The sequence below is a fragment of the Homo sapiens genome, chromosome 7, assembly GCF_000001405.40.
Source record: "Homo sapiens chromosome 7, GRCh38.p14 Primary Assembly".
NCBI lineage: Eukaryota > Metazoa > Chordata > Mammalia > Primates > Hominidae > Homo > Homo sapiens.
Window position 1 is genome coordinate 136,106,878 of NC_000007.14, and position 22,114 is coordinate 136,128,991.

Consider the following 22,114-nt stretch of genomic DNA (forward strand, 5'->3'; position numbering starts at 1 on the left):
ATCTTTAGAATTTTCTAGGTAGTAGAGTCGTGTTCTTGGTGAATAGAGATAATTTGACTTCGTTTCCTATTTGGATGCCTTTTATTTCTTTCTATTGCCTGATCGCTCTTACTAGGATTTCACTCCAATACCAAATAGGAGTGGTGAAAGTGGACACCTTTATCTTGCTCTAGTTCTTAGGGTTAATGCTTTCAAATTTTGCCCATTCAGTATGATGTTGGCTGTGGGTTTGTCATAGATGGCCCTTATTATTTTGAAGTATGTTTTTTGATGCCTAGTTTGTTGAGGTTTTTATCATGAAGATATTTTATCAAATGCTTCTTCTGCTGCATTTGAGATGATCATATGGTTTTTGTTTTCAATTCAGTTTATATGGTGAATTACATTTAGTAATTTGTATATGTTGAACCATCCTTCCATCCTATAAAAAAACCCACTTGATAGTGATTAATTATCTTTTTAATGTGCTGATGGATTTGGTTTGCTAGTATTTTGTTGAGGATATTTTTTTTAGTAGCTTAAAGCAACATTTATTTTTAAATTTATTATTATTATTATACTTTAAGTTTTAGGGTACATGTGCACAATGTGCAGGTTAGTTACATATGTATACATGTGCCATGCTGCTGTACTGCACCCATTAGCTCGTCATTTAGCATTAGGTATATCTCCTAATGCTATCCCTCCCCCCTCCCCCCACCCCACAACAGTCTCCAGAGTGTGATGTTCCCCTTCCTGTGCCATGTGTTCTCATTGTTCAATTCCCACCTATGAGTGAGAACATGTGGTGTTTGGTTTTTTGTCCTTGCGATAGTTTACTGAGAATGATGATTTCCAATTTCAACCATGTCCCTGCAAAGGACATGAACTCATCATTTTTTATGGCTGCATGGTATTCCATGGTGTATATATGCCACATTTTCTTAATCCAGTCTATCATTGTTGGACATTTGGATTGGTTCCAAGTCTTTGCTATTGTGAATAGTGCCACAATAAACATACGTATGCATGTGTCTTTATAGCAGCATGATTTATAGTCCTTTGGGTATATACCCAGTAATGGGATGGCTGGGTCAAATGGTATTTCTAGTTCTAGATCCCTGAGGAATCGCCACACTGACTTCCACAATGGTTGAACTAGTTTACAGTCCCACCAACAGTGTAAAAGTGTTCCTATTTCTCCACATCCTCTCCAGCACCTGTTGTTTCCTGACTTTTTAATGATTGCCATTCTAACTGGTGTGAGATGGTATCTCATTGTGGTTTTGATTTGCATTTCTCTGATGGCCAGTGATGGTGAGCATTTTTTCATTTGTTTTTTGGCTGCATAATTGTTGAGGATTTTTACATCTATGTTTATTAGGAGTATAGGTCTGTAGTTTTCTTTTTTTTGTTGTGTCCTTGACAGATTTTGGTGTCAGGATGATACTGGTTTTGTAGAATGAGTTAGGGAGGAATCCCTCCTCTTTGATTTTTTTGGAATAGTTTCGGTAAGATTGGTATCGGCTCTCCTTTGTATGTCTGGTAGAATTTGGCTGTGAATCCATCTGGTTTAGAGCATTTTCTAGTTGGTAATTTTTAATTACTGATTCAATTTTGTAACTTGTATTGGTGTGTTCAAGATTTCAATTTCTTCCTGGTTCAATCTTGGTAGCTTGTACATTTCCAGGAATTTATCCAGCTCCTCTAGATTTTCTAGCTTGTGTACTTAGAGATGTTCATAGCAGTCTGGGAGGATCTTTTTTATTTCTGTGGTATCAGTTGTAATGTCACTTTTGTCATTTCTGATTGTACTTATTTGGATCTTCTCTTTTTTTTGTTGTTAATCTAGGTAGCAGTCTATCAGTTTTGTTTACCTATTCAAAGACTCAACTTTTTGTTTCCATTGTTAATCTTTTGTATGTTTTCTTTGGGTTTCAGTTTTATTTAGTTCTTCTCTGATGTTAGTTATTTATTTTCCTTTTTTATGATCACCAGTCATTTATTATCATTTTCAAGTATTATGTACTGAACATAATTGAATGTGCTATATATATATTTTTTAATATTTAAATTCTGGGGTACATGTGCAGAACGTGCAAGTTTGTCACATAGGTATACATGTGCCATGGTGGTTTGCTGCATCCATCAACCCATCATCTACATTAGGTATTTCTCCTAATGCTATCCCTCCTGCAGCCCCCAATCCGCTGACAGGCCCTGGTGTGTGATGACCCCCCCAACTTGTCCATGTGTTCTCATTGTTCAACTCCCACTTATGAGTGAGAACATGAGGTGTTTGGTTTTCTGTTCTTGTGTTAGTTTGCTGAGAATGATGGTTTCCAGCTTTGTCCATGTCCCTGCAAAGGACATGAACTCATCCTTTTTTATGGCTGCATAGTATTCCATGGTGTATATATGCCACATTTTCTTTATCCAGTCTATCATTGATGGGCATTTGGGTTGGTTTCCAAGTCTTTGCTATTGTGAACAGTGCCACAATAAACCTACATGTGCATGTGTCTTTATAGTAGAATGATTTATAATCATTTGGGCATATACCTAGTAATGGGATTGCTGGGTCAAATGGTATTTCTAGTTCTAGAACCTTGAGGAATCGCCACACTGTCTTCCACAATGGTTGAACTAGTTTACACTCCCACCAACAGTGTAATAATGTTCCTATTTCTCCACATCCTCTCCAGCATCTGTTGTTTCCTGACTTTTTAATGATCACCATTCTAAATGGCATGAGATGGTATCTCATTGTGGTTTTGATTTGCATTTTTCTAATGACCAGTGAGGATAAGCATTTTTTCATAAGTTTGTTGGCTGCATAAATGTCTTCTTTTGAGAAGTGTCTGTTCATATCCTTCACCCTCTTTTTAATGGGGTTGTTTTTTTTCTTGTAAATTTGTTTAAGTTCTTTGTAGATTCTAGATATTAGTCCTTCGTCAGATGAATAGATTGAAAAATTTTTCTCCCATTCTGTAGGTTGCCTGTTCACTCTGATGATAGTTTCTTTTGCTGTGCAGAAGCTCTTTAGTTTAATTAGATCTCATGTGTCAATTTTGGCTTTTGTTGCCATTGCTTTTGGTGTTTTAGACATGAAGTCTTTGCCCATGCCTATGTCTGAATGGTACTGCCTAGGTTTTCTTCTAGGGTTTTTATAGTTTTAGGTCATACATTTAAGTCTTTAATCCATCTTGAATTAATTTTTGTATGAGACGTAAGGAAGGGATCCAGTTTCAGCTTTCTGCATGTGGTTAACCAGTTTTCCCAACACCATTTATTAAATAGAGAATCCTTTCTCCATTTCTTGTTTTTGTCAGGTTTGTCAAAGATCAGATGGTTGTAGATGTGTAGTGTTATTTCTGAGGCCTCTATTCCGTTCCATTAGTCTATATATCTGTTTTGGTACTGGAACCATGCTGTTTTGGTTACTGTAGCCTTGTAGTATAGTTTGAAGTCAGGTAGCATGTTGCCTCCAGCTTTGTTCTTTTTGCTATGAAATTTAAAGCAGTGTTTTCCAATTCTGTGAAGAAAGTCAATGGTAGCTTGATGGGGATAGCGTTGAATCTATAAATTACTTTGGGTAGTATGGCCATTTTCACGATATTGATTCTTCCTATCCATGAGCATGGAATGTTTTTCCATTTGTTTGTGTCCTCTCTTAATTCCTTGAACAGTGGTTTGTAGTTCTCCTTGAAGAGGTCCTTCACATCCCTTGTAAGTTGGATTCCTAGGTATTTTATTCTCTTTGTAGCAATTGTGAATGAGAGTTCACTCATGATTTGGCGCTCTGTTTGTCTGTTATTGGTGTATAGGAATGCTTGTGACTTCTGCACATTGATTTTGTATCCTGAGATTTGCTGAAGTTGTTTATCAGCTTAAGGAGATTTGGGCTGTGACAGTGGGATTTTCTAAATATACAATCATGTCATCTGCAAACAGGGACAATTTGACTTCCTCTTTTCCTAATTGAATACCCTTTATTTCTTTCTCTTGCCTGATTGCCCTGGCCAGAACTTCCAACACTATGTTGAATAGGAGTGGTGAGAGAGGGCATCCTTGTCTTGTGCCGGTTTTGAAAGGGAATGCTTCCAGCTTTTGCCCATTCAGTATGATATTGGCTGTGGGTTTGTCATAAATAGCTCTTATTATTTTGAGATATGTTCCATCAATATCTAGTTTATTGTGAGATTTTAGTATAAAGGGCTGTTGAATTTTTTCAAAGACCTTTTCTGTATCTATTGAGATAATCATGTGGTTTTTGTCATTGGTTCTGCTTATGTGATGGATTACGTTTATTGATTTGCACATGTTGAACCAGCCTTGCATCCAAGGGATGAAACCGACTTTATAGTGGTGGATAAGCTTTTTGATGTGCTGCTGGATTCGGTCTGCCAGTATTTTATTGAGGATTTTTGCATTGATGTTCATCAGGGATATTTGCCTGAAATTTTCTTTTTTTGTTGTGTCTCTGCCAGGTTTTGGTATCAGGATGATACTGGCCTCATAAAATTAGTTAGGGCGAATTCACTCTTTTTCTATTGTTTGTAATAGTTTCAGAAGGAATGGTACCAGCTCCTCTTTGTACCTCTGGTAGAATTCTGCTGTGAATCTGTCTGGTCCTGGACTTTTTTTGGTTGGTAGGCTCTTACTGCCTCAATTTCAGAACTTGTTATTGGTCTATTCAGGGATTCAACTTCTTCCTGGTTTAGTCTTGGGAGGGTGTATGTGTCCAGGAATTTATCCATTTCTTCTAGATTTTCTAGTTTATTTGCGTAGAGGTGTTTGTAATATTCTCTGATGGTAGTTTGTATTTCTGTGGGATCGGTGGCGATATCCCCTTTATCATTTTTTATTGTGTCTATTTGATTCTTCTCTTTTTCTTTATTAGTCTTGCTAGTGGTCTATCAATTTTGTTGATCCTTTCAAAAAACCAGCTCCTGGATTCATTGGTTTTTTGAAGGGTTTTTGTGTCTCTACCTCCTTCAGTTCTGCTCTCATCTTAGTTATTTCTTGTATTCTGCTAGCTTTTGAATATGTTTGCTCTTGCTTTTCTAGTTCTTTCAATTGTGATGTTAGGGTGTCAATTTTAGATCTTTCCTGCTTTCTCTTGTGGGCATTTTAGTGCTATAAATTTCCCTCTACACACTGCTTTGAATGTGTCCCAGAGTTTCTGGTATGTTGTGTCTTTGTTTTCATTGGTTTCAAAGAACATCTTCATTTCTGCCTTAATTTTGTTATTTACTCAGTAGTTATTCAGTAGCAGGTTGTTCAGTTTCCATGTAGTTGTGTGGTGTTGAGTGAGTTTCTTAATCCTGAGTTCTAATTTGATTGCACTGTGGTCTGAGAAACTGTTTGTTATGATTTCCATTCTTTTGCATTTGCTGAAGAGTGTTTTACTTCCAATTATGTGGTCAATTTTAGAATAAGTGTGACATGGTGCTGAGAAGAATGTATATTCTATTGATTTGGGATGGAGAGTTCTGTAAATGTCTACTAGGTCCACTTGGTCTAGAGCTGAGTTAAAGTCCTGGATATGCTTGTTAATTTTCTGTCTTGTTGATCTGTCTAATATTGACAGTGGGGGTTTTAAAGTCTCCCGCTATTATTGTGTGGGAGTCGAAGTCTCTTTGTAGGTCTCTAACAACTTGCTTTATGAATCTGGGAGCTCCTGTATTGGGTGCATATATATTTAGAATAGTTAGCTCTTCTTGTTGAATTGATCCCTTTACCATTACGTAATGCCCTTCTTTGTCTCTTTTGATCTTTTTTGGTTTAAAGTCTGTTTTATCAGAGACTAGGATTGCAATCCCTGCTTCTTTTTTCTTTCCATTCACTTGGTAAGTATTCCTCCATCCCTTTATTTTGAGCCTATATGTGTCTTTTCACATAAGATGGGTCTCCTGAATACAGCACACTGATGGGTCTTCACTCTTTATCCAATTTGCCAGTCTGTGTCTTTAATTGGCACATTTAGCCTGTTTACATTTAAGGTTAATATTGTTATGTGTGAATTTGATCCTGTCATGATGCTAGCTGGTTATTTTGCCCATTAGTTGATGCAGTTTCTTCATAGTGTCAATGGTCTTTACAATTTGGTATATTTTTGCAGTGGCTGGTACTGGTTTTTCCTTTCCATGTTTAGTGCAGTCAGGCCTGGTGGTGACAGAATCTCTCAGCATTTGCTTGTCTGTAAAGGACTTTATTTCTCCTTTGCTTATGAAGCTTAGTTTGGCTGGATATGAAATTCTGGGTTGAAAATTCTTATCTTTAAGAATGTTGAATATTGGCCCCCAACTCTCTTCTGGCTTGTAGAGTTTCTGCTGAGAGATCCACTGTTAGTCTGATGGGCTTCCTTTTGTGGGTAACCCAACCTTTCTCTCTGGCTGCCCTTAACATTTTTTCCTCCATTTCAACCTTGGTGAATCTGACAATTATGTGTCTTGGGGTTGCTCTTCTCGCGGAGTATCTTTGTGGTGTTCTCTGTATTTCCTGAATTTGAATTTTGGCCTGTCTTGCTAGGTTGGAGAAGTTCTCCTGGATAATATCCTGCAGAGTGTTTTCCGACTTGGTTCCATTCTCCCTGTCACTTTCAGGTACACCAATCAAATGTAGATTTGGCCTTTTCACATAGTCCTGTGTTTCTTGGAGGCTTCTTTTGTTTCTTTTCACCCTTTTTTCTCTAATTTTGTCTTCTCGCTTTATTTCATTGAGTTGATCTTTGATCTCTGTTATCCTTTCCTGCGCTTGAGCGATTCAGCTATTGATACTTGTGTATGCTTCACAAAGTTCTCGTGCTGTGTTTTTCAGCTCCATCACCTCATTTATGTTCTTCTCTAAACTGGTTATTCTAGTTAGCAATTCATCTAACCTTTTTTCAAGTTTCTTCGATCCCTTGCATTCAGTTAAAACATGCTCCTTTAGCTCGGAGGAGTTTCTTATTACCCACCTTGTAAAGCCTACTTCCGTCAATTAGTCAAACTCATTCTCTGTCTAGTTTTGTTCCCTTGGTGGTGAGGAGTTGTGATCCTTTGGAGGAGAAAAGGCAGTCTGGTTTTTGGAATTTTCAGCCTTTTTGCACTGGTTTCTCCCCATCTTCGTGGATTTATCTACCTTTGGTCTTTGGCGTTGGTGACCTTCGGATTGGGTCTCTGAGTGAGTGTCCTTTTTGTTGATGTTGATACTATTCCTTTTCTGTTTGTTAGTTTTCCTTCTCACTGTCAGGCCCCTCTGCTGCAGGTCTGCTGAAGGTCCCTCCAGACCCTGTTTGCCTGTGTATTGCCAGTGGAGGCTGCAGAACAGCAAAGATTGCTGCCTGTTCCATCTTCTGGAAGCTTTGTCCCAGAGGGACACCTACCAGATGCCCACCAGAGCTCTCCTGTATGAGATGTCTGTTGGCCCCTACTGGGAGGTGTCTCCCAGTTGGATACATGGGGGTCAGGGACCCACTTGAGGAGGCAGTCTGACCTTTAGCAGAGCTCGAACGCTGTGCTGGGAGACCCGCTGCTCTCTTCAGAGCCAGCAGGCAGGGACGTTTAAGTCTGCTGAGGCTGTGCCCACAGCTGCCCCTTCCCCCAGGTGCTCTGTCCCAGGGAGCTGGGGGTTTTATCTATAAGTCCCTGACTGGGGCTGCTGCCTTATTTTCAGAGATGCCCTGCCCAGAGAGGAGGAATCTAGAGAGGCAGTCTGGCCGCAGCAGCCTTGCTGGGCTGTGGTTGGCTCCACCCTGTTCAAACTTCCTTGTAGCTTTATTTACACTGTGAGGGTAAAAGTGCCTACTGAAGCCTCAGTAATGGCGGACACCCCTCCACCCACCAAGTTCAAGTGCCCCAGGTCGACTTCAGACTCCAAGAATTTTTTTTCTTTTTTCTTTTTTTTTTTGAGATGGAGTCTCAATCTGTCGCCCAGGCTGGAGTGCAGTGGCGCAATCCCGGCCCAGTGCAACTTCTGCTGCCCAGTGATTCTCCTGCCTCAGCCTCCCAGGTAGCTGGGATTACAGGCGCTTGCCACCACATCTGGCTAATTTTTGTAGTTTTAGCAGAGATGGGGTTTCACCATCTTGGCCTGGCTGGTTTTGAATTCCTGACCTCGTGATCCATCCACCTTGGCTTCCCAAAGTGCTGGAATTAAGGCATGAGCCACCCTGCCCAGCCTGGCAGTGAGAATTTCAAGCCAGCGGATCTTAGCTTGCTGGGCTCCGTGGGGATGGGATCCGGTAAGCTAGACCACTTGGCTCCCTGGCTTCAGCCCCCTTTCCAGGGGAGTGAACGGTTCTGTCTCGCTGGCATTCCAGGCGCCACTGGTGTATGAAGAAAACCTCCTGCAGCTATCTCAGTGTCTGCCCAAAGGGCCGCCCGGTTTTGTGCTTGAAACCCAGGGCCCTGGTGGTGTATACACCCGAGGGAATCTCCTGGTCTGCAGATTGCGAAGACTGTGGGAAAAGTGTAGTATCTGGGCTGGATAGCTCTATCCCTCACGGCAGGTCTGGAGAAGTTTTATCTCTTTCTCCAGTGCTGTGCACTTCCCTCGGTGGAAATTATATTGGGTTGTGCAGTTCACGCTACCGGCCAGTAGGTGGCACTTATGGGTATGAACCAGCTGAGCGCTGTACTATGCCGTCTGCTGAAGTTGTGATGGGCCCTGCAGGTTGACTTCCTGGCCTTTAAGTAGCGCTTGCAGGTGAGAGGCAATTGCAGTGATGGCAGTAGAATTTTTTCTTGGCCTTGGTTGAACAGGGGAAGTACTGGGCTGTCCTTGGCGATGGGCAGGGTGTGGGGGTCTCAGGGATACCATTCTGTGCTCTGCTGAGAGCAGCTGGAGGGGGCAAAGCTGGATGTGGCTGGGTTGGGCAAGTCCATTATCAGCCTCTCTGAGGCCGACGTGAGCGCTGACCTTGGTGGAGGCATAGGGGTAGCTCTCAGGCTGGTAGGACAACCTTTCAGGAAGGGACGAAGAAGACCCTCCTGTGCCACAGAACTTGCTTAGGGGAAGAGAAGTGGACCGGGGTTTTCAGCCCAGCAGGCAGCCATGGGGCCCACACAGTTTAAGCTCCCCTGATCCAGTGAGTCTCCCTTTCACATCTGGTCCAGCCAGCAAGCCTGACCAGCTAAGTTCATCCCAAGCTGTCTGCGCCCAGATCGCTGAACCCTACTGGGCATTCCAGGCTGCCAGACTCCCTGAGGGGGAAACTGCAGCTATCAGGCCATGCCTTTCCCCACCTGGCCTTGCAAAGGAAGGGGTGCCCAGCTCCCACACCACTGCATGAACCAGCACCACACTCTGTGTTCTGATAGTGGGGGCTCCTCCGCTACTCAAGATCAGGCCACAACTGTTAACTCAATGCCCCTGGGCGATGTGCTCGAATCCTGGAGAATTGGGACCTGGCCCTTGGATTTGTCCTCTGGTCCCTTGGGGCCAAAGTAAAGCTGGGATGGGGGAAGTGAGCTGCTGGCATGCTGCCAACACAACGCTTAGATGGGGCAGTGGAGGCTGTGCTGGGGGTATACTCCTGTGGGAGTGGCCAGGCAGATGGTCTTGGGAGGGCCAGCAGGCAAGGAGAAGTTTGATTCATCTGCACCTCATCGGCGACAATGGCCGCGGGGTGTTTCTTAGGCCTGTGAGTGAGGTCGTACCCTGTTCTCTACTGGCCCAGCAGACAGCAGGAGCTGCAGTTGCTTAGTGCAGGATGGACGTCCAGAGCCTTAGTGGATACGCGTCCAGAGCCTTACCAGATAGCCTCACTCTGGCCCCATGTTTTGCCACAAGCTGCCCAGCACAGCAAAGCCTTCTGGGCTCCATGCAGGTTCTCGCTGTGCCTCTCCATTTGTCTAGGCAACTCCCCCTGCCAATCCAAAGATCTGCAGGGGTCATGGGAACTCCTGTAGCTAGGACTCAGGGCTCCATGGTGGGCATGTGGTGCCCTGCAGTGCCTTCATTTACCCCTTTCTTGGGTCCAGTCTGGGTTCAGGGGCAGGTCCTGGCACCTGGTGACAGAGCAGGCTGTCCCCCCTCCTTCCTCTTCAGCCACAGTGTCTGCATCACCTCTCTATTGACTTTCAGTGTTTTCTTTCAAAAGATCTGTTGGAGGTTTGAAGTCTTACTTGATATTTTGGTTCCTCTTTGTGGAAGAGGTGCTTCTAGCTGCATCCGGTTGGCCATCTTGTCTAATTTTGTGTTACTTTTTTTTTTTTTTTTGGAGACAGGGTCTCACTCTGTCGCCCAGGCTGCAGTGCAGTGGTGTGATCATGGCTCACCGCAGCCTTGACCTCCTAGGCTCAAGCGATCCTTTCACCTCAGCTTCCTAAGTAGCCAGGACTACAGGTGAGTGTCATCACGCCTGGCTAATTTTTGTATTTTTTGTAGAGACAGGATTTTGCTATGTTGCTCAGGCTGGTCTCGAACTCCTGGGTTCAAGGGATCTGCCCACTGTGGCCTCCCAAAGTACTGGAATTACAGGCTTGAGCCACTATGCCTGGCATGTTACATCCTTGAGACTAGCATGCTAACTTCACGTGTCTTGACACCCAGTTGGCTCCTCAGCCAGCCTTGGGCCTTCCATCAGTTTGACTGCTTCTGAGTATGTTATAAAGCCAAAGAATCCTGTGGCCACAAGCCCTCTTACACACCTCTATTGCTGTCATATGAATCCCTTGTTCTGTGGTGAGGTCCTGTAGGCTGCCATATTGATAGAGAAGATGCGTGTGAACTCTCAGATGGCAGTGCTGACAGAGGCACTGTGGTCAAGGAGGGCGTGCACAGATGTAGAATGTGTCTCAATTCCAGTGAACTCATTGCTGCCCCCTTCCACCCACCACCCAGGTGTGAGAGATGTTATGTAACGAACCCGCCACCCAGGTGTGAGAGATGTTATGTAACTAACCCACCGCCAGGTGGGTGGCCGACCTCCTCAGGGAATGAAGGCTCATCATGGGCCCATAATATTCTCTCTCTTGCGAACCATTGGGCATTTAGCCAGCAGTGGCCCATGGTTAGAACAGGTTAATGCAGGAGCAAGCTGTTTATATTATGTAGGTGGTACTTGGCCCCAGCCCTCTCTGTCCTGCACACTGCAAGTCACAAATTAAGCCTTTCAAGATCCACTTATTGGCTTTATGTGAGAAGTAAGTAGCTCCCTATCCTACTCTCTCCTTGATAGGAATCAGGGACCAGATGAGACTTACAGCATGGTTCTCTACAAGAAATTCTTACTGCAAATTCTCTCTCCTTCATTTTCAACAGTCTGACCCTTTTTAATATTCAATATGGGTAGAGGGTGTAAGAGTAGTGAAACTACTTTTTAGTACCATGATATTTTTTCTTGGTCTGGCATCTTACTTTGATAACTGTTATCTATCATCTTAGGATCTCAGGCAAAACTTCTATTTTAATACTCTGTTAAATGTGCATACTCTCACGTCTATCATCTCAGTCTTTAGATTTTCAAATATGCACAAGAAGATGTGCAAGGAACTTCACTGCAATGCTGTTTGCAATAGAAAAAAAGTTAGAAGAAAACAACCTAAGTAACACTAGATTAAAAAATGGACTAATAAACTCTAGTTATTCAAACAATGAAGTACTATACAATAGTGAAATTGAATGACTAGCTCTTAAAAACATAATACTGAGTACAAAAAGCAATTTAGATCCATATAGTATAATATCATTTATTTAAGCATTAGAAGCCCCACAGAAAACAATATATGGTGGTTTTGAATATATATATGTAAAATATTAAATATAAACATTGAAATATCAATTTCCAGGAAAAGGAGGGAAGAATAAAGAGTGGGTAAAAAAACTTACCCTTTAAAGAAGACAGAATGTGATTTTTGAACAATATTATAAAATCTTTACATTTAATTATTTAAATTTAATAAGTTAATAACAATACAATTAACATAAATTAATATAATTTCATAAATTAATTTCTTTAAATATTAAAGGATTGAATGTAATATCTTTATTTAATCTTGATAGTATTAAAAATAATTTTACAGTACTTTTGAAATTATTCACAATTAATACACTTTAGAAAAAATAATGAATTGGATGTTGTTAAAAGCCATAAACTATAGGCTTCTAAATATATTAGTATGAGTACTACTTTTTAGTGTAAACGTTTCATTCCTTATTATAGCAGCACCCCCATACATTTGAATAATAGTGGTACTGTCGTACAAAGTAATGTTCCTTTCGTTTCTGAACAATGAATGATGTTAATAGATTAGGGGCCATTTGTCCTAGAGTTATCAAATATTTAGCCTTTTTACTATGTAGTAATGAAAAGTAATAATGTAATAGCTTTTTCACTCTCAATGATTCTTCTAAGTTGGACGTACTTGGAGTTCTATTCAAAACTTAATTTTCTATTCTGAATTTATTCTAATTCATTCTATCTATAGAGATTCCCCACCAGCTCCTTAGGAATCAAGTCCTGGGAAGTATCAACTACTGGATCACAGTTGGTTCTTCCTCATGGGCTGCACCTCCAGGACACCTGGGTGGCTGGCCCCTCCCTCCTCTCTGCCAGGCTCTGCATCAGCTTGCACAGCTTGCCTGTGGTTCCCACTTGTCTCTAATGCAGGGTGTTCAGTGTATTCACATGCCTCTTTCTATTTGTCTTCATACCATTGGGCAAACAGGGAAGATCTTAGCCAAAACTATGACTTTGGCAGAAATTATTTGCAGAGTCTCCAACTGTTTCCTTTTAATATACTTCAGTTCAGCTTTACAAGCAATAGATGTTAAGCTGATACATAATAGATGTTCATTTATTGATAGATAAATGATACATAATAGATGTTCATTCATTGATAGATAAATTATACATAATAGATGTTCATTTATTGATAGATAAATGATACATAATAGATGTTCATTCATTGATAGATAAATGATACATAATAGATGTTCATTCATTGGTAGATAAATGATACATAATAGATGTTCATTCATTGATAGATAAATGATACATAATAGATGTTCATTTATTGATAGATAAATGATACATAATAGATGTTCATTCCTTTATTGCACATCTATTATGTATCAGGAACTTTGCCAGGTGCTGACAATAAACAAGATGACTAAGATGTAACTCTTACCTTTAAAATCTGAGTCCGGTGACTGATGACCTGTTTCTAAATTCTCCTTGAACTTTGAGAAGAAGAAAAATCTGATATTGGTTCACCTTGTCTTCTCTTCTGAGCCTCAGGCTCATATTTTTGGCTACCTAGTAAACCTTTTTCCTAGACTACACATGTCAATTTTTTTCTCTTATTTTTGAATTCTTTCTCTTCCTGACGTCTCTGTTTCATTCCGACTTGGCTTCAAACCTCCACTTTCAATCCTCTCCTTTTATTTCCTCAATAACTAGTTAAGGGTTGCAGTTGTTTTCCATTTCCACTGCTGGTATTGATACTCAGGCTCCTGCACCCTTCAATTCTGGACCACCCCAATTGCCTCTTAACTGGTTTCCTTGACTCTTTTTTCTTCTTCTCCGATTCATCCTATTATTGTTGGCAGATTGGTCTTCTTAAAATATCCTCTTAATCTCATCACCTCACTGCACCCAAACCTTCAATGATTCCCTGGTGCCTAAAGGGTGAAGTCTGTAATTCTACTCCAGTATTCACTGTGCTTCATTTTAGGGTCCAATCTTCTTTTCCAGCTGGATTAGTCTGTTCTCACGCTGCTAATAAAGACATACCTGAGACTGGATAATTTATAATGGAAAGAAGGTTAATGGACTCACAGTTCCACCTGGTTGGGGAGGCCTCAAAATCATGGCGAAAGCCAAAGAAAGAGCAAAGGGACTTCTTATATGGTGGTGGACAAAAAGAGAGCTTGTGCAGGGAAATTCCCCTTCATAAAACCATCGAATCTTATGAGACTTATTCACTATCAGGAGGACAGCACGAGAAAGACCTGACCCCATGATTCAATTGCCTCCCACTGGGTTCTCCCATGACATGTGGGAATTGTGGGAGCTGCAATTCAAGATCAGATTTGAGTGGGGACATAGCCAAACCATATCACCAACCTTATTTCTGTATACTCATTTCCTTCAGATACTCAGTGCTACTGTTTATGGTTGTAGAAAGAGGAAGAAAGACTATTGCAAATTATATTTGATTACAATTTTGAACTGTCTACACTTTAGTAGTCAACATCTTTTTGCTTTTGTATCCCATTTCTCTGCACACATTCAGCATGGTTGTTTTACAGCAGTGGTTCCCAATCCAGGGTGCACACTGACATGCTCTGGGGTCTGTAATGAATACTGATACTTGGGTCTCTCTCTCAGAGATTCTGAATTACCTGGCTTGGATATCAGGATTTTCAAAGTTCCCAGGTGATATGGTTTGGTTGTTTCCCCACCCAAATCTTGTCTTGAATTGTAGCTCCCATAATCCCCATGTGTTATAGGAGGGACTTGGTGGGAGATAATTGAATCATGGGGGTGGTTTCCTCCATACTGTTCTTGCGGTACTGAATAAATGTCACTTCATGAGATCTGATGGTTTTATAAGGGGAAACCCCTTTATCTTGGTTCTTATTCTGTCTTACTGCCTGCCATGTATCAAGTGCCTTTCACCTTCTGCCATGATTATGAAGCCTCCCTAGCCATGTGGAACTGTGAGTCTATTAAACCTATTTTTCTTCCCAGTCTTGGGTAAGTCTTTATCAGCAGCATGAAAATGGAACAACACACCAGATGATTCTCATGTGTTTCCTAGATTGAGAACCTCTGGCTTCTACGGATGGTTGGTGTGCACCAAACTTGGCCAATGTTGTAGCCCAGGACAAATAACACCACCACCACCACCACCACCACCACCACCAACAACAACAACAGCAACACAAGTTGGTGAAATATTTGTTGGCTACTTGTGTGCTGCAGCTTAGGGAGTGACCTGGCATTTAGCTAGCTTTTCTGTGTTGTGGGCCTGGAACTCTTACTGGTAACTGCCTTCATTAGTGTACAAGTTGAAGTAAAAAAATCTAGGCTTCTAAAAGCATCCTCTGAGGGGGTGGGTTTATAGTCTAATTTGGATGTTGCATTTTTCCATCACCATAGGAAGCCTCTAAGAAAAAGACAAATAGGGGCTCTCACATTATAGTCATGGGCAAATGAATCATGTTCTAATTGCAGATTTTCAACAGGATGGCTACAAGTGTGTCAGAAAAGCTAAGAAAATTATTTGCTATAGACAAACAAAAGGTTCTGATCTTTTATGTTTATTTTTAGATAAACAAGAGGCCTATTTTGTGTTTGTAACTGACTTGGTGCTTGAAATATTTTAGATGCTCACACACTTTTCTACGTGCCACAATTATGCCAGAATATAAAATTCCCAAAGATGATGTATTTAAAATGAAAGAACATTCCAGGGAAGAGTGCCATACCCTGTGTAATGAACTGTAACTTAACAAATGGTCATTTACACTCATGCCCAGAATGTATCAGGCTTATCATTAACATGAAATTTCTTTCTGGCTTATAGACCAAGATCAGATTTCTTTCAATAACCTTTATTATTAGCAAGAAATGTCATTGAGAAGGTAGTTTAAGACTTTCATTTAGGAATAAAAACACATTGTTCTTTACTGAGCTATGGAGTAGCTTGAAGTTATTTTAAGTCTCCAATGATGATTTTGACTCTATTCTGTGCGATTTTGGAGTTTATGGGTCTCAACTTCCCAATGGATGAGATGACATTATTAATAACAAAATAGTAAGGGGTGAGGGTATGAGTCATGCTACTGTTTGGGTATATGTTCTTACTGTCTCTTGATGTTTAAACTATTATACAAAAAAGTATTGTTACATTGGCTTACAAGCCAATGATGGCAAGCCAATGATGATAAATCTCCTTCCCTTATGGTTGGAAGTCTCACTGTAATTCTGCCAATTGGTTATGGATGAGGCTTACCCTTAAGTGGGAAGGTTCTTAGAGGTAGAGGGTTGGGATGTGACTGTTTGACTATGTGGAGAGTACAGGTACCATGCTAGAGGGTTTTTGTTTGTTTGTTTGTTTGTACGTTTTTTTAAAAAAATACAGTTACTAACTCTTACTAATTCCTGAATTTTGTAACAGGATATTCAGAATGATTTTGTCCTTTAGTGCAAGAATTCTAGCAAAGACATAAAGCTGAGGAGGATAAGAAAAGCTAAGACCCCATATCCTAAAGATAGTTACCAAAGAGTCACCACCATTGGGGAATTCCAGATTTATTTACTAAGTGGAGGTTAAACCTTCCCCTTACCATAATTCCCTGTCCCACCCCTCCCTGCAAGAGGAATCAGGATGGAGGGTGTTATTAGAGTGCAGACAGGAAGGTTTTCCTTTTCTTCCCCATGGGTGGGCTGCTCTCCTCCCTAAGAAGCCAAGTGAAGGGCTTCCAATGGGAAATCAGTCATAGAGGTTGGGGTATCTATGAGAAGGAGAGACTTGTATCTTCTTTATGACAGGTGTGTACTAAGCTCTAGAACCTGCAGCCTCACTCTCTACTGACTTTGGAGTGGTACAGATCAGGGCAAGAAAGTTTTAGGAGAGCCTGAGATGTGCTTCGTGTGCTACCAGTCTGGAGATTTCTGAGCAGAGAAGCTTGTTGTAATAGCTGTCACCAGCAGAGTAAGAAGGGTGCCATAGTGTTAGGTACTGAAGAACAGGATGTGGCCACACTTACCCTAGTCTCCTGTGACCTTTTGAGGGCACAGAGGAAAACACACCGAGATGAGGGGAGGGACAGAGGAAGAGGGCTCACTGGGATAAAGCAAGAGGCCGCCTAATCCAGAGAAAGGGCTTAAGGCCAGTGCTGTAGATGGGAATAGGTAAGGTGTAGGGGATATTCCTTGTTCTGAGGGTCCTCAGGACTGGGTAGGGGGCATGGTAAAAATGTATCATTGCCCTTACAAAAACCATGCACAGTGTCTTATCATCAAAGGGAAAGAGTCTGCAACAGAGGGATGCCAGGACATCTGCCCTCATTGGCATGATCTCTGCATTTACTTATTTCTCCCCCTGCCCATGAGGGGCTGGAAGATCCAGACTTTGAAAATAGAGAGGGGAGGATTTGCTTCTGAGCCACACTGTGTTCACTCTTCACTCCAAGAACCTATGATCATGTTTCTAGCTATTTTGAAGAAGAGAAGATGAACATTTTTTTAATCAATCAGCTATGATATTTTATTAGGAGTCATATTAGTAATAAAAAGTGTCTGGTAAGCTATGGATTGTGCCAAGAGGTCATTGCTAGGGAGTAGGACAGGGTTATGTGACAGAACATGAATAAAAGAAGGATTTAAAGGAATAACAGTTTCATGTTAATAACCTCATGGAGTTGAAACTCCTCCATTAACTGTCTACATTTGAAATGTTGAAACATTCAGTAATGTTGAACCTGAATGTGGTGCTTTCAGGGACCAGGACAAAGGAAGATCAGAAGCACTACTATATCTGCTTTTCAATGAAATTAGCTGGAGTGAGATTTGGAGGCTCGAAAGGAGGTTGGAGCCTTTTCTTGGAATCTTATGCTCTATAGGGATGCCCAGGGAAGATGTGGGAGGTGAGGGGTCAGGGAGGAAGGAGTCTGGGGAAAAGATCTCTGTATAAGAGGGGAGGAATGGGCAGGAGGGGCACGAGGATCATCACAAGGAGGAGGGAGGAGTATCCTATTCAGCAGTGGCTGCTTTTGTTCCTGTCTTCTGGAGATTTAACTTACTCTTGATGAGGATTGAAGCCAAAGAGATTTGGGAGAAAGGGGTGGGGTGGGGGAGAACATTTCTTTTCCCCACCATTAGCTAGTTAGAATCATATAATTATTCAAAGTCAGAGCTGGAAGGCATTCAGAGGTCATCCAATACCCTCATTTCATGTCCAATTCCGGTTTTGCTAGTACCCAATATAAAATCACTGCCCTTGCACTTTTTCCTTCTTATACAGGTATTTTGGAGAGTCTCCAGACACTGAAAAACAAGGATCTGATAAAGGTTCTGGCCATATTGGCCATATGGTTCTTGCCATTCCATCCTTTTACCCTGCTCCAGCCCCCTTGCCTTGAGGTGCTTTGAAGATCCACTGGACACCACACCTCACTCTGTGCCAGGGCATTGATGGGACTGCAGTCACATCTGCTGTCTCCTGGCAGGCATGGCCACTCCTGCCCATGCACAGGACCCCTCCAAGAGCAAGGATGATTACAACTTCTTCTTCTTCTTTCTTCTTCCTGGATGAAGATTGCTGTGGCTATGATGACAACTTCTCCTTCTTTCTTCTTCTTCTTCTTTCTTCTGCCTAGATGAAGATTGCTGGGCTGGTGGCCTCTTATTCTCTTGGAATATGCTCTCTCCCCAGAAATGTGTAATCTCTTCTCAATTATTTTTTAGCAGATTCCCCCATTAGTTTATCTGGGCTTAAGTGATGTATTAGTCCATTTTCATGCTGCTGATAAAGACATATCCGAGACTGGGCAATTTATAAAGAAAAAGAGGTTTAATGGACTCACAGTTCCACATGGCTGGGGAGGTCTCACCATCATGGTGAAAGGTGAAAGGCATGTCTTACATGGCAGCAGACAAGAGAGAATGAGAGAGCTTGTGTAAGGAAACTACCCTTTATAAAACCATCAGATCTCATGAGACTTATTTGCTATCACGAGAACAGCACGGGAAAGACCCACCCCCATGATTCAATTACGTCTCACTGGGTCCCTCCCACGACACACGAGAATTATGGGAGCTACAATTCAAGATGAGATTTGGGTGGGGACACAGCCAAACCTTATCAAGTGAGGACTCCTTTTTTCAAACCATGAGTGAATGTGAATTGGAAAGATGTTGTGAATTTACTTACCCTGAAGCCTCATGATGTGTGCTAGGAGAAGCACCAGGACTGGAACTAAAGAGTCCAGCATGCACAATTGCTATCTATGCTTAGAGGGACTAGGCAGGAGTGAAAAGGAGAAAAAAGTGGAGCCAAGGCTGCTCTCTGAATTCATCAGGAAATGGGGAGTGGACTGAGGGCTAAGTTGGGGAACATCTCTAGGAAACTCTCCAGGTGGAATTTTGTCGATGTAAGGTCATGAGCTATCTTACATGATATTAGGTGACTGCCAAGATTCACTACAACTAGTGTGCAAAGCCTCAAATTATTTTTATTTTATGACTATTATTTTTCTCCCTATGTGAGCATTTTTCTTGGAAAAGAATGGAAATTGTTTTTAACATTGAGTAAATATAGAGATTAATGATCTTGGATCCCTTTCATATTAAATTAAGTCATGATTTTATATTTTATTAAAGCAATCTTATTTATAGCCAAAGTCTGGATGCCTAGAGATGTCTGGAGCTGCAAATGATGGTCTTGTTTTAAATTTTGAGTGAAGCATTGAATACTGTTTACAACTCTGAACACTTAATTTTGATTGGATAGATTTATTGTTTCAGAGAATAGTTTTCTGGAACTGTTGTGGGGTAATTGTGATGCCTGTGCTTGCTATAGAAATCTGTTTTTGTGTGTATCAGTGATAAAATTCATCTTTTAAAATGCACTCTTAGGCATTTTAAATTTAATTAGATAAATTAATTAGATACATTTAATTCTTAAGGCTAACAGACGTATTCTGTGAGGTGTGGATACCAGGTATTTAACACTGGAGAACTGAAATCAAATTTAGAAGAAACATTATTCTCTTATTTGATTAACAACCCTCTAGAGTTGTTGTTCTAGATGTTGTTTTCTTTTTAACCTAGAGGTGAGACATAGTCACTGTCTCTAATCTTAGCTCCTTCAACTGTGGTGGAGACAGAAGGGACAGATATTTAAGGAATTCTTAATTTTTGGTGGAGTGGGAGACAGGCAGGAATCAACGGTTTCAAGAGCTACACTTCTCGGTGGAAGTTGGCTTTAAAGGGTGGTGACTGAGCTCCTGCATGAAGTGGTAATTGAAATACACAGGAGTGGCTTATTTTATCTTCAGTTTAATGGTAGAGTTTTGAGTAAGTAGTTCTCAACCCAGTGAATGACATATGTTCGGTGAGTAGTAAACATTTGTTGGGTTGCCCACCATTCTTTCTTCTTTTGGCAACAGTGTCTAATTTTCCCTTTTGAGAACCATCCTCCCCCTTCTGTCAGATGAACAGCTACTGTTGGAGCTGATTCTATGACTAGCTTCAAGAGTGTATAACTCACTGGCTAAGTGCCATAAATCTATTACCTAGGCATAGTGACTCCTTTAGGGGTGGACATATGACTAAGTTGATCCAATCAAAGTACAATCCTATGTGGAAGCTACTAGGGAGAGATACCCTTTCCCCTCTGAACATGAACATAGGGAAGGGCTGAAGCTGTGGGTAGCCATTTTGTACTTGGGAACCTCAGAATTGAGCCAATATATGGTACAGTGCAAAGCCAAGAGATGTTTCAGTTATATTAATCTATCTATTCACTTTTACTGAAGTCATTTGCCTGCAATGAAAATAATCCTAACTGAACAGGGTACATAATTAATATTAATTGGTTCCTTTTCCTGCCCCTTATTTCTCAGGGGACTAGTCCCTGCAGGGGATGCGGGAGAGCTGCTGCACATTCTCCCAGGATTCCTACAGCACACACATAATATAAGGAAAGGTTTTCCAGATTCTGCAATTTTACATCAAAAACAGCTTCCAAAATATATTTTTATTAAACAACAAAATGTACAAAACACCAGCTACTGTGTACTCTCAATATTTTTTCATAAAAGAAATGGCATTTTTAATATTCTAAAATAGGAAGTACAGAGTATAATTAAGGATAGTATTTAAAATAGAAAAAGTCTATCTTTAAGAAAAATGCATTGCACTCTCCTTATTCTTTTTTTCATTTTACCATAGTGCAGCAAAAATGTGAGTGGTTCATAAGGTCTAGGTCTTATGAAAGATAACTTCCTAGAATCAGATCCTGCCTCGACCACTCACTGGCTATTCTGTAATTACTCTGAGTTGCAGTTTCCTCATCTGTGAAATAGAAGTAATAATTATCCCTGTCTCAGAAGATTGCAGTAAGGGTTGAAGGAATTAATACATGTAAGTTTTTAGAATAGTTCCTGGCACATAGGAAGTACTCAACAAACATTAACTATTATTATTGTTGTTGTTGTTATATTAATCAATACTCAGTGTCAATGTCTGGGATGAAATCAGATTCTAATTTCAGCCTTTATACTAATTAATTCTGTGACCTTGGACAGGTCAGTTTAGCTTTCTGGGCTTCAGCGTGCTCAACTGTAAAATGTAGGAATTTGGTTAGATACTTTTGGAGCATGCAGGAAACCACATGCATCTGCTGACTCTGCTCATCTGCAGGGGGCGTGAGGCACCATTATTGGTCACCTGATGCTCACCTGGGACTGGATTGGCTCCACAGTGGGGAGGCAGTCAGTCCCTCATCCCCCACAGCGCTCTTGTGTGGTGGTTGCTTCTGTTTCTGGTTGGCAGAGAGATGTGCAGAAGAAAAAGTCCTTTGAAGGAGTGAATGGAAGGATTCAGGGTAGGATGTTTCCAAAAATGAAGCTGAGAAAATTCCAATGATGCCAGACACAGTGGGCAACAGTTTTGGGGATGACCGAATATTCTTTCATCTAACCACTCCACTACCCTCTATTGGCAAAGTCTGGAGATTGGTGAGGAAGTCTCCATCTTGGGTGTAGAGCCTGTCTGTGAGTGCAGTCCTATCTTTGAATGAAAGCAGAGCACACTTCTGTGTGGGAGTAAAGATGATGTGGTGAAACATGGATGTTTGAACATTAACACCAAGGAAACACTCAAGGCAGAAATAGTTCAAGCAACTTAAATAGCAGTGAAGGGCTTTATTCAGCTTATGTGCATGAGGGAGCACCTCAAGGTTAGATAACTTCCTCAGCAGAAGCAGGGTTGGAGTCTGTACAGGTAAGGAAAGAGGATGGGATTGTGATGATGGTCTTGTCTCAGGGTATACAGATGTTCCTCAACTTATTATGGAGTTATGTCCTGGAAAACCCATCATACATTAAAAACATTCTGAGTTGAAAGTGGATTAATCCAGCCTACTGCATATCAAAGCTTAGCTTAGCCTAACTTAAACATACTCGGAACAAT

General features: G+C 41.2%; 1 long non-coding RNA gene across 13 annotated transcripts in view, besides 2 other annotated features; it reads left to right on the forward strand.

Annotated features, from left to right (window-relative positions):
- LOC105375523 (uncharacterized) overlaps positions 1-22,114 on the forward strand; it is a 459,019-nt gene that overhangs the window by 125,931 nt on the left and 310,974 nt on the right. For 3 of the 13 annotated variants that reach the window (NR_187960.1, NR_187957.1, NR_187959.1), the window contains exon 2: positions 10,194-10,311. The exons of the other annotated variants lie outside the window; for them this stretch is intronic. This is a non-coding gene — a long non-coding RNA (uncharacterized LOC105375523). The remainder of the gene's footprint in view (positions 1-10,193; positions 10,312-22,114) is intronic. 13 annotated transcript variants of the gene reach the window in all.
- Positions 8,477-8,586: a silencer, noted in NCBI's record as "silent region_18683". NCBI's record gives its function as "represses an Ori minimal core promoter by ATAC-STARR-seq in GM12878 lymphoblastoid cells {active_cell/tissue: GM12878}" and the evidence as "EXISTENCE:reporter gene assay evidence [ECO:0000049][PMID:35858748]".
- Positions 20,130-20,330: a silencer, noted in NCBI's record as "peak6752 fragment used in MPRA reporter construct". NCBI's record gives its function as "represses an SCP1 promoter by STARR-seq MPRAs in K562 erythroleukemia cells {active_cell/tissue: K562}" and the evidence as "EXISTENCE:reporter gene assay evidence [ECO:0000049][PMID:32103011]".